We start from the raw sequence: 12,103 nt of genomic DNA on the forward strand, positions 1-12,103 counted from the left end.
TTTTTTTGTGAGACAGTCTTGCTCTGTCGCCTAGGCTGGAGTGCAGTGGCGCGATCTCGGCTCACTGCAACCTCCGCCTCCTGGGTTCAAGCGATTCTCCTGCCTCAGCCTCCTGAGTAGCTGGGACTACAGGTGCCCACCACCACACCCGGCTAATTTTTTTTGTATTTTTAGGAGAGACAGGGTGTCACCGTGTTAGCCAGGATGGTCTCCATCTCTTGACCTCATGATCCGCCCACGTCGGCCTCCCAAAGTGCTGGGATTACAGGCGTGAGCCACCGCGCCCAGCCTTTTTTCTTTTTTTAAGACAGACCCCCTGTCACCAAGGCTGGAGTGCAGTGGCACGATCTTGGCTTGCTGCAGCCTCCACCTCCAAACCTCAAAGCCATTCTCCTGCCTCACCCTCCCAAGTAGGTGGGATTACAGATGTGCGCCAACATGCCTGGCTAATTTTTGTATTTTTGGTAGAGATGGGGCTATGCCATGTTGGCCAGGCTGGGCTGTTGGGGGTCCTTTGGCAAGGAAAAACTGCTTGATTTGTGGCAGCCCCCCTGACTTCCTCCAGGGCCTCTGACCCCAGGCCTGGGGGCATCCGCATGTTTCACAGGTGACTGTGTCTTTGCAGCCTGCACCTGTGCTCAGGGAGCAGGAATTCCCAGAGTGAATGGGTTTGTGTTTTCACTCAAGGACTGTCCCCAGAGGAATTCAAATGAGAATCTACATTCAATAAATGTACGGGTGTATAGACTTAACATATCGGAAACTGAGTCACAAAGGAAGATATTGCACCCCACTTTGCCCCATAGCAGAATGACCCAGCTCCTCGCTTAAGACTGTAGCTGAGGCGGGCAGATCACCTGAGGTCAGGAGTTCGAGATCAGCCTGGCCAACATAGTGAAACCCTGTCTCTACTACAAATACAAAAAAAAAAAAAAATAGCCAGGCGTGGTGGTGAGCACCTGCAATCCCAGCTACTCGGGAGGCTGAGGCAAGAGAGTCGCTTGAACCCAGGAGGCAGAGGTTGCAATGAGCCAAGATCATGTCTCTGCACTCCAGCTTGGGCAACAGAGTGAGACTCTATCTTAAAAAAAAAAAACAAAAAACTGTAGCCCAAACCAAGCCACTGAAAAGAAGTAAACATCTGGCGAGGCCAGGCACGGTGGCTCATGCCTGTAATCCCAGCACTTTGGGAGGCCAAGGTGGGTGGATCACCTGAGGTGATCGAGACCAGCCTGACCAGCATGGTGAAACCCCGTCTCTACTAAAAATACAGAAAATTAGCCGAGCCTGGTGGCACATACCTGTAATTCCAACTACTCAGAAGGCTGAGGCAGGAGAATCCCCGGGAGGCAGAGATTGCCGTGAGCTGAGATTGCACCATTGCACTCCAGCCTGGGCGACAAGAGCAAAACTCCATCTCAAACAAAACAAAACAAAACAACAACAACAACAAAACATCTGGCGGGGTGCAGTGGCTCATGCCTGTAATTTCAACGCTTTGGGAGACTGACGTGGGAGCATCATTTGAGCTCAGGAGTTCAAGATCAGCCTGGGCAACATAGCAAGACTTCGTCTCTACAGAAAAATTTAAAAAATTAGCCAGGCATGGTGGTCCTTGCCTGTAGTCCCTCCCGCTTATCTGGGAGGCTGAGGTGGGAGGATCACTTGAGCCCAGAAGTTCCAGGCTGCAGTGAGCTATGATCGTACCACTGCACTCCAGCCTGGGCAACAAAGCAAGACCCTCATCTCTAACAAAAAAAAGAAATAAAAGAATTTTGTTTGGCTGAATTCATTTTCACCCTGGGACCCTGGTTGATTTCTTTTCTTTCTTTCTTTTTTTTTGAGACGAAGTGTCACTCTTATACCCCAGGCTGGAGTGCAATGGTGCAATCTCGGCTTACTGCAACCTCCACCTCCCATGTTCAAGCAAGTCTCCTGCCTCAGCCTCCGGGAGTAGCTGGGATTACAGGTGCCTGCCACCACGCCCAGCTAATTTTTGTATTTTTAGTAGAGACGGGGTTTCACCGTGTTGGCCAGGCTGGTCTTGAACTCCTGACCTCAGGTGATCCACCCCCCTTGGCCTCCCAAAGTGCTGGGATTACAGGCTTGAGCCACCGCGCCCATTTTTTTTTTTTTTTTTTTTTAGACAGGGTCTTACTCTGTTGCCTAGGCTGGAGTGCAGTGGTGTGATCTCCACTCACTGCAACCTCCACCTTCTGGGTTCAAGTGATTCTCGTGCCTCAGCGTCCCAGGTAGCTGGGTTTTACAGCATGAGCCACTGCACCCAGCTAATTTTCCTATTGCTCTGGTGGATTTCAGTGGTGCTTGTGGTTAGCTGGGTGGGCTCCAGGGGCCTGGGAAAGGACGGGCTTGGGCTCCAAATGCCCTTCACACTCCCCGGTGCATCTCCTCCTTTCCAGATCTTCCTTTAGCTCCGTGTTTGCAAATCTTCCACTGACTCATTCGACTGCCAAAGTGGAAGAATGGAATCACAGGAAGCTGCATTTGGGAAGGCTGCAGAGCCCAGTCCCCAGATCTGCTGTCCTCCCACCCGGATAGTCACAGATGACGTTTGCAAGTGTGACACAGTCCCGTGGAAATTCCTGGTGCATGAGTCAGCTTGAGCTGCCATAGTAAAATACCACAGGCTGAGTGGCTCAAACAACACAAAGTTATTTTCTCACAGTTCTGGAGGCTGGAAGTCTAAGGTCAAGGTGTTGGTGAGGTTGGTTGCTCCTGAGGCCTCTCTCCTTGGCTTGCAGGCAGCTGCCTTCTTGCTCTGTCCTCATATTGCCTTCCTCTGTGCATGCAAATTCCTGGTGTTTCCTCCCCTCCCCTCCTCTCCCCTCCCCCTCCCCCCCCCTTTCTCTCTTTCTCTCTTTCTTTCTTTCTTTCTGGGTCTCCCTCTGTTGCAGTGACCCAATCATGGTTCACTGCAGCCTTGAACTCCTGGGCTCAACCAATCCTCCAGCCTCAGCCTGCTGAGTGGCTGGGACTACAAGCATGCACTACCATGCCCGGCTAATTTGTTTATTTTTGTAGAAACGGGGTCTCATTATGTTGCCCAGGCTGGTTTCAAGCTCCTGGCCTCAAGCAGTGCTCCCACCTTGGCCTCTCAAAGTGTTGGGATTACAAAGCCAGGTGCAGTAGCTCACGCCTGTAATCTCAGCACTTTGGGAGGCCAAGGTGGGCAGATCACCTGAGGTCAGCAGTTTAAGACCATGCTGGCCAACATGGTGAAACCCTGTCTCTACTGCAAATACAAAAATTAGCTGGGCGTGGTGGCATGTGCCCATAATCCCAGCTACTCGGGAGGCTGAGGCAGGAGAATCGCTTGACCTGGGAGGCAGAGGTTGCAGTGAGCTGAGATCGCGCCACTGAACTCCAGCCTGGGCGACAGAGTGAGACTCCCTCTCAAACAAACAAACAAACAAAGTGTTTAGATTACAGGTGTGAGCCACTGCACCCAGCCTCCTCCTCCTCTCTCTCTCTCTTTTTTTTTTTTTTTTCTGAGACAAGGTCTCTCTCTGTTGCCCAGTCTGGAGTGTGATCATAGCTCATTGCAGCCTTGACCTCCTGGGCTCAAGCAATCCTCCCACCTCACCCTCCTGAATAGCGGGTACTGCAGGCATGCACCATCACACTCAGCTAATTTTTTAATTTTTTTAGAGATGGGGTCTCACTGTGTTGCCTAGGCTGGTCTCAAACTCCAGGCCTCGAGTGATCCTCTCACCTCGACCTCCCAAAGTACTGGGATTACAGGTGTGAGTCGCCGCATCCGGCTGGAGCCCAAGTCTTCTGACCTTCTGGTTGGCCTTATAAAAGGCCCATCTCCTATGTTCTCTTCTCAGCCTGCATTTGAGGTCCTGACATCAGGCTACTGGGAGCTGACGCAGGACCTTAGGCTGATGTCAACATTCCTTCATGCATCCAGTGGCACACAAGGGTGGCCTGGACAGATGGATCATGCCCTTGGTGTGCTCACAGTCTGGGGGTGGGGCGATTCCCAAAGGGTTAGAATTACTCCAGGAACCTCAGTTTGCAACGTCGGCTGTGAGTCCAGAGTTGCAAACAGGTCAATGAGCGAGCAGAAAGGACTCTGAGGTCTGAGGCCACATGCTGGTGTTCCTCCCTGCCCAGGGCACCAGCCCAGTGACCCTGCAGGGAGGGTGGAGGGGAAGCCCTAATGAAAGAGAAAAAAAAGCAGCAGCAGCACATGACAGGGAAACTGAGTCACGGAGCAGGCCCCAGGAGGGTTTGTGTAGAAGCTGCCTTCAGCTCCAGGGTAGAGGGGGACAGGCGCCGGCTCACTGATGACATTCACGGACATCCTCCTGCCAAAGACACAAAAACTTCATTTTGGCCATTTCCTCCTCTCTTCCTTGCTAAATCTTATTATTATTATTATTATTTTTGAGATGAGGTCTTGCTCTGTCACCCAGGCTGAAGTACAATGGCACAATCATGGCTTACTGCAGCCTCAACCTCCTGGCTCAAGCAATCCTCCTGTCTCAGTCTCCTGAGTAGCTGGGACTGCAGGTGGACACCATCACACCCGGCTAATTTTCTTATTTTTTTTTTTTTTTTTTTTTTTTGAGACGGAGTCTCGCTCTGTCGCCCAGGCTGGAGTGCAGTGGTGGGATCTCGGCTCACTGCAAGCTCCGCCTCCCGGGTTCATGCCATTCTCCTGCCTCAGCCTCCCAAGTAGCTGGGACCACAGGCGCCCGCCACTACGCCCGGCTAATTTTTTTGTATTTTTAGTAGAGACGGGGTTTCACCGTTTTAGCCGGGATGGTCTCGATCTCCTGACCTCGTGATCCGCCCGCCTCGGCCTCCCAAAGTGCTGGGATTACAGGCGTGAGCCACCGCGCCCGGCCTAATTTTCTTATTTTTTGGTAGACATGGGGTCTTGCTATGTCGCCCAGGCTGATCTTGAACTCCCGGGCTCAAGCGGTCCTCCTGCCTCAGCCTCCCAAAGTGCTGGGATTACAGGTGTGCACCATTGCGCCTGGCCCTTGCTAAATCTTTTATCAGAGCTGATCGCTCTGGACTAAGATTGTGGCGTCTTCTTCTTCTTGCCCAATCAACATGAAAAGGCAAGTGTGAAATGCTTTGTACAGAAACAGTCCCTCTGCCCTGCACTACCTGACAGGTGTCCCCCTTCTTTTTTTTTTTTTTTTTTTTGAGCTGGAGTTTTGCTCTTATTGCCCAGGCTGGAGTGCAATGGTGTAATCTTGGTTCACTGCAGCCTCCGCCGCCCGGGTTCAAGCAATTCTCTTGCCTCAGCCTCCTGAGTAGCTGGGATTACAGGCACCCACCACCACACCCAGGTACTTTTTAATTTTATTTTTTATTTTTATTTTTTGAGGCGGAGTCTCGCTCTGTCTCCCAGGCTGAAGTGCAGTGGCACGATCTCGGCTCACTGCAAGCTCTGCCTCCCGGGTTCATGCCATTCTCCTGCCTTAGCCTCCCTAGCAGCTGGGACTACAGGTGCCCGCCACCACACCTGGGTAATTTTTGCATTTTTAGTAAAGATGGGGTTTTGCCATGTTGGCCAGGCTGGTCTCAAACTCCTGACCTCAGGTGATCTGCCCACCTCGGCCTCCCAAAGTGCTGGGATTATAGGTGGGAGCCACTCACCCGGCTTAACATTCCTTTAGGGACACAAAAGAATGTCGATTTTCACAGTGGGACAGCAGGCTTGGACAAACAAGCATGCCCTTGTCCCTGGCCCTGTGAAGCTTGGCTAATTACCCCCTGCCAGGACACTGGGAGCTTTCGGAGGCAGACAGCTGAGGTCCGCCTTGCACCTCAAGTGCAGGCAGCAAAACCCTCGTCCCGACATCAGAGGCGTCGGGGCTAGGGTCCCTCCTGTTGCTGGGAGGAGATGGAAACCCAGAGTGTGGGGATCCCGTTCTCAATGACTTGCTTTTTCTCAGCTCACACCTAAGGTCCAGACCATCTCCTCCCATCTGTCACCATGCAGTCCCCGTATGGCCTAGGGAACCAGGCTTCAGGTCTAAAATTCGTCTCTCCACTGCCTAGAACCCTCCAGGGCTCCCCATTGCCCTTAGGAAAAAGCCCAGTTTTACAGCCCTGCCATACAAGGCCCTCCCTGACTGAGTCCTGCCACTCCTCTGCCCTCATCTTGGTCCCCATTCCCTGGCCACTTGAGCTCTTCAAGGTTCTTCCCACCGTCAGCCTCCGCCTGCCACATCCATCCTTCAAGACACACCTAGGCTGTCACCTCCTCCGGAAAGCTGCCCTTAAGCCCCACACTTAAAGAATTAAATGTTTGTGGCCCAGGCCAGGTGTAATGGCTCACACCCGTAATCCCAGCACTTTGGGAGGTCAAGGCGGGTGGATCACCTGAGGTAGGGAGTTCAAGATCAGCTTGGCCAACATGGCGAAATCTCGTCTCTACCAAAAACACAAAAATTAGCCAGGCGTGGTGGCAGGTGCCTGTAATCCCAGCTACTCAGGAGGCTGAGGCAGGAGAATTGCTTGAACCCAGGAGGCGAAAGTTGCAGCAAGCCAAGATTGTGCCACTGCACTCCAGCCTGGGTGACAGCGAGACTCCATCTCAAAAAAAAAAAAAAAAAAGTATCAGAAGGATGCAAAAGAACCCAGAAGAGATGCCCCCTTAGACCTGGCCTGAGAGAGAAAGTGTGGTTTTGCAGAGGAGTCCTGGGAGCAGCCCTGCAGGAATCAGGGGAGAAAGAGCCCAGCCTGGTCCAGGGCAGTGTCCCCGGGCAGATGGCTCCTGGAAACTCGGAATAAACAAGCTTCAGTGCGTGTCACTGCCTTGGGCCGGGTGACATAACGCACAGATGTGCAACCATAGGACTCAGGGACTGCGGGGCTAAGTGAGTAATAGCAGCTGTGGAGGACGGTCTTGAGGCTGGAAACTGACAGACTGCAGAGGGGCCCTTAGCCAGCACCTTTAGAGACTTCCCCCAGCAGGAGGAAGTTGGGAGTGTTTTCCCTAAGTGAGGAGCGGTGGTGCGTGCCTGTAATCCCAGCTACTTGGGAGGCTGAGGCATGGAGGATTGCTTTAGCCCAGGAGTTCAAGACCAGCCTGGGCAACATAGCAAGACCCTATATCAAAACATAAATAAAGCTTTTTAAAATTTTTGCTGGCCTTTGCTGGCCCACTTCTCTTGCAATAACAAGGTCTGAATAAGCAGGCTTTGCTTGTTCTCTTTGGGGTGGTCTTCATTTATCAACACAATCCATGCGAAGTTTTTTTGTTTTTGTTTTTGTTTTGAGACAGAGTTTCTCTCTTGTTGCCCAGGCTGGAGTGCAATGGTGTGATCTCGGCTCACTGCAACCTCCGCCTCCTGGGTTCAAGCGGTTCTCCTGCCTCAGCCTCCCAATTACCTGGGATTACAGGCATGAGCCACCACACCCGGCTAAGTTTGTATTTTTAGTAGAGAAGGGGTTTCTCCATGTTGGTCAGTCTGGTCTCGAACTCCCAACCTCAGGTGATCTGCCAGCCTCCACCTCCCAAAGTGCTGTGATTACAGGCGTGAGCCACAACACCCGGCCTCATGCAGTTTTAAGCTTAAGCTTCTCTCGTAACAATCCTCAGCCATGTCAGCTTTCCTTCACACAGCAGGGGAGGCCTTGTTATCTTCCCTTGGGAAATCCGGGGAGGCTGCATAGAAAAAGCCCCCATGCATCTTGGAAACCCCCAACGAGGGGAAGTCCCCCTATCACCTGGCAGCAGAGAGCTACTATGGCCTTCCTTTACCACTGGGCTGTTTCCACTAGCACTGTACCAAGCCAGAGGGAAGTACCGGAGCTTCCTCCAAGACCGATATACCCCAAGGTGGGGAGAACTGGATAAAGGCAAAGTCCATGCAGTTGAAAGTAAGGGTGTGGCCACCGGCGTGATAGCCTTAGCTGGTATCTCCGTGGTGATGCAATTCCCAGCCTGTGCCACCTGCCACCCTGTGCAGCCTCTGCTCTGCTAGGCAGAAAGGTCACAGCAACATCCAATCATTTCAGCAGAAGCGGTTTGGGTTTAAGTTTCTTTTATTAGTCCCCAAAGCAGCACATGCCTGTTGCAGAAAAATTCAGAAAAGGGAAGAAAAAAGTCCCACGGATTCCCCCCACCCAAAGCCCACCACAGTTACCAGTTTTTTTGAGACAAGGTCTCACTTTTTCACCGAGGCTGGACTGTAGTGGTACGATCTTGGCTCACTACAACCTCCGCCTCCCGGGTTCAAGCGATTCTCCTGCATCAGCCTCCTGAGTAGCTGGGATTACGGGCATGTGCCACCATGCCTGGCTAGCTTTTTGTGTTTTTAGTAGAGACAGGGTTTCATCATGTTGCCCAGGCTGGTCTCCAACTCTGGGGCTCAGGCAATCCTCCTGCCTTGGCCTCCCAAAGTGCTGGGATTACAGGCATGAGCCACCACAACTGGCCCACAATTTTAAAAATAAAATAAAATAAAATGGGATCTTGCTCTGTTGCCCAGGCTGGAGTGCAATGGTATGATCATAACTCACTATAGCCTCCAACTCGTGGGCTCAAGTGATCCTCCCACCTCAGTCTCCCCACTCGCTGGGATGACAGGCATGAGGCACTAAGCTTGGCTCCATATCCGCAGTTTCATGAAGTGTATTTTCCTGGTGGGTGTAAATACGTAACTGTTTCCCCACATTATAACAAATGCCTTGTAAACAGCAGTTCAGACACTGCAAACATATCCCATCCTGTAGCTGTCCTATGGATTCTAAAATGAAAAATAAAAAAATAAAAATAGGCCAGGCGTGGTGCCCAGAGCCTGTAATCCCAGCGCTTTGGGAGGCCGAGGTGGGAGGATCACTTGAGGCCAGGATTTCGAGACCAGCCTGGGCAACATAGAAAGCCTCTGTCTCTACCCCTGAAAAAGTAAAATAATAAATAAACAAATAAATAAATAAATAAATAGTATACCAGAGAGATCGCCACCTGCAAAGCAGCCCAGGCCTCTCCCGTGGCTGGCCCATTGCAGGCCTCAGAGAATTCAGCTCTGGCTCGAAAATTATTCCCAACTCTCTCTTCCCATGAAAAATCCTCCCGTGAGGCTGCTGGTCACAGCCGGCGTCAGCAAGAAAATGACCAAATCAGCAGTTTCAGTGGAGACAAAAGGCCTGGGTGAGAGGTCGGCTGGGAGAACACCCCCTCCAGATCCCCCCGCCTGCCTCCCCACCCATCACGGAGGCCTGATGCCAGGGCAGGGGCCAAGGCCAGGACCCCAACCCTCACATCAGACAGCATCAGGTTCATCTACTGAAAGAAGCAGAAAAACTCGAACGCAAACTTTTTTTTTTTTTTTTTTTTGAGACAAAGTCTTGCTCTTGTTGCCCAGGCTGGAGTGCAATGGTGCGATCTCAGCTCACTGCAACCTCCGCCTCCCGGGTTCAAGTGATTCTCCTGCCTCAGCCTCCCAAGTAGTTGGGATTACAGGTGTGTGCCACCATGCCCGGCTAATTTTTTGTATTTTAAGTAGAGACGGAGTTTCACCATGTTGGCCAGGCTGGTCTCGAACTCCTGACCTTGTGATCCGCCCGCCTTGGCCTCCCAAAGTGCTGGGATTACAGGTGTGAGCCACTGTGCCCGGCCCCCCAAATGCAAACTGTAACAAGACAGAAGCCTGTCTTCTCTCATCTGGAGCAAGAACAAAAGGTGTCCCTCTCAGGTGACTTGCTCTTTGAAGCTCCACTCACCAGCGGCCAGGTAAGGTCTGTTGACCGCAGGCTGTTGCTCTGAATAATACTGGGGGCCATCAGTGAGGGAGGCAGTACCTGTGAAGGTTGGGGGCCCCTGCCTACCTCCTGAGGCACATGTGGGAGGCTAGATCTGCTGGGCAGGGGCTGGTGAGCTCAGGTACATCCCAGCAAGACCCATGTCACCTTGGCAAATCCCTGCCCCATCCCGTCCCGTCCCGTCCCATCCCATCCCATCCCTTCTGTTGCCCAGGCTGGAGTGTAGTGGTATGATCTCCACTCACTGCAACCTTCGCCTTCTGGGTTCAAGCCATTCTCAAGCTTCACCCTCCCGAGTAGCTGGGATTACAGGCATGTACCACCACACCCAGCTATTTTTTGCATCTTCTGTAGAGATGGGGTTTCATCACGTTGGCCAGGCTGGTCTCGCACTCCTGACCTCAGGTTATCTGCCCGCCACCACCTCCTAAAGTGCTGGGATTACAGGTGTGAGCCACTGTGCCTGGCTGGTTTATAACTGTTGATATACAGGTTATGCATCCCAGCCACAAGGAACAATTAGCTCCCTGTTTCCTGAACACTGCCCTCTCCACCCTGAGTCCCCTCCCTCCCTATGGGTTCACACCTCCTACAGAAGCCCAGTCTTTCTGGAGTTCACTCTGAACCTCCTCCCTTATTAGTCTCCAAGTCTGGCTCTCCACACCAACTGGGCACCCCCTCAGGGCTGACCCCATGCCCAGCCTCCATCATTACAGCATTGCATGTTCGCTGAACTGAATTGAAACACTCTCCCCAATTTACAGATGGGGAAACTGAGGTCAAAATGTTTAGGCCAGGCACGGTGGCTCACAGCTGTAATCCCAGCACTTTGGGAGGCTGAGGTGGGAAGATCATCTGAAGCCAAGAGTTTAAGACCAGCCTGGACCCCAACATAATGAGACCCCATCTCTATAAAAAACACAAAAAATTAGCCGGGCATGGTGCATGCCCGTAGTCCCAGCTACTCTGGAGGCTGAGGCAGGAGGATCATTTGAGCCTGGGAGTTTGAGGCTGCAGTGAGCTGTAATCACACCACTGCACTCCAGCCTGGGTGACAGAGTGAGACCCCTTCTCTAAAAAAAGGTTCACTCACTTCTCAAAGATTATGGATACCAAGACAGTTGAGGGGTGGTAATGTTAACTTAGTAAGTTCATTCATTCATTCAACAAATATTACTGGATGTCTACCCTCTGCCAAGCATTGCACTGGGTCCCTTAGGGGATAGGAACAAGATCGTATGTGGCACTTCTCTCCCGCAGAACAGTGGTCTCACCATACAGACCACAACCTCCCCCAACACCCACATTCCTGCACTCAAGGGAAAAGCAGGGACATTTAAGCTGTGCTTTGAAGGGGGAATATGATTTGTCAAACAGAGAAAGGGGGCAGGGCAGGACTGGTAGAACGGCCAGCTAGGTCAAAGGCATCCAGGCGAGCTTATCAAGGGGGGACAGAGGGAAACCAAGCCACAGAAGCCAACCGCAGCCTGGGCATGGACAGGGGCTGGGGCTTGGTCACTGTTTAGTTCCTGAGCTGTCACTTGGCATCTGCCTCTCCACGCAGGAGGGGACCTGGCAGCTGCCTCAACTCCTCTGAAATAGCAGTACATGCATCCTGTCCTGGGGAGGGTTCATTTGTATCTTGGAAGCTGATCACCATGAGATCCTTTTTTTTTTTTCTTTTGGGACGGAGTCTCGCTCTGTCACCCAGGCTGAAGGGCCGTGGCTTGATCATGACTCACTGCAGCCTCGACCTCCTGGGCTCCAGCGATCCTCCCACCCCAGCCTCCCCAGTAGCTGGGACCGCAGGCGCGCGCCCAGCTAATTTTTGTATTTTTTGTAGAGACGAAGGTTACGTTGCCCAGGTTGTTCTCGGACTCTTGGCCTCAGGCGATCTGCACGCCTTGGCTTCCTGAAGTGCTGGGATTACAGGCGTGAGACACTGCCCAGGCTATGAGATCCTTGATAACCATGAGACCCTGTGCCACAGTTCCCCACCCACGCTGGCCCCAACACAGACCTGAAGTTTTCGCCCCAGCTGCACTGTCCCCCTCCTCATCCTTTCTGTCCAGCGCCAACAGCATCTCACCTTCCCAAGCTGCCGTCCTTCCCAATGACCAGAGACATCTTTGCAAGCATAGCATGGCTGGAGGATGCGTTTCACCAAACGCGATGTAAGCACCACCAGGTGCCCAGCGCGGAGGTGGATGTGGGCGAACCCTGGACGCCCCACAAAGGACAGCTGCGGCCTGGGAAGGGAAGGAGATGGAGCGGGGAGAGGGGGAAGAGGTTGCTCCGCGTTTTCCGCCCGCCCGCCTGCTTTCCGCGAGGCACTGAGGCCTGAAAA

At 52.5% G+C, this 12,103-nt stretch overlaps 1 long non-coding RNA gene across 1 annotated transcript, besides 4 other annotated features; it reads right to left on the reverse strand.

The window, feature by feature from the left end:
• Nucleotides 1,670-2,300: an enhancer, noted in NCBI's record as "H3K27ac-H3K4me1 hESC enhancer chr7:73693216-73693846 (GRCh37/hg19 assembly coordinates)". NCBI's record gives its function as "activates a minimal SCP1, AML or CMV promoter by ChIP-STARR-seq in primed H9 embryonic stem cells {active_cell/tissue: H9 hESC(primed)}" and the evidence as "EXISTENCE:reporter gene assay evidence [ECO:0000049][PMID:30033119]".
• Nucleotides 3,639-12,091, reverse strand: LOC107986742 (uncharacterized). The gene is made up of 2 exons (XR_001745024.2): nt 11,846-12,091; nt 3,639-4,334 (listed from the first exon to the last, which is right to left on the reverse strand). It is a non-coding gene; the product is annotated as an uncharacterized LOC107986742 (long non-coding RNA).
• Nucleotides 5,452-6,082: an enhancer, noted in NCBI's record as "OCT4-NANOG-H3K27ac-H3K4me1 hESC enhancer chr7:73696998-73697628 (GRCh37/hg19 assembly coordinates)". NCBI's record gives its function as "activates a minimal SCP1, AML or CMV promoter by ChIP-STARR-seq in primed H9 embryonic stem cells {active_cell/tissue: H9 hESC(primed)}" and the evidence as "EXISTENCE:reporter gene assay evidence [ECO:0000049][PMID:30033119]".
• Nucleotides 5,603-5,897: a silencer, noted in NCBI's record as "tiled region #8848; HepG2 Repressive non-DNase unmatched - State 21:Repr". NCBI's record gives its function as "represses a minimal TATA promoter and a strong SV40 promoter by Sharpr-MPRA in HepG2 cells {active_cell/tissue: HepG2}" and the evidence as "EXISTENCE:reporter gene assay evidence [ECO:0000049][PMID:27701403]".
• Nucleotides 7,568-7,807: an enhancer, noted in NCBI's record as "active region_26158". NCBI's record gives its function as "activates an Ori minimal core promoter by ATAC-STARR-seq in GM12878 lymphoblastoid cells {active_cell/tissue: GM12878}" and the evidence as "EXISTENCE:reporter gene assay evidence [ECO:0000049][PMID:35858748]".

This window comes from Homo sapiens, chromosome 7 (genome assembly GCF_000001405.40).
Source record: "Homo sapiens chromosome 7, GRCh38.p14 Primary Assembly".
Taxonomy (NCBI): domain Eukaryota; kingdom Metazoa; phylum Chordata; class Mammalia; order Primates; family Hominidae; genus Homo; species Homo sapiens.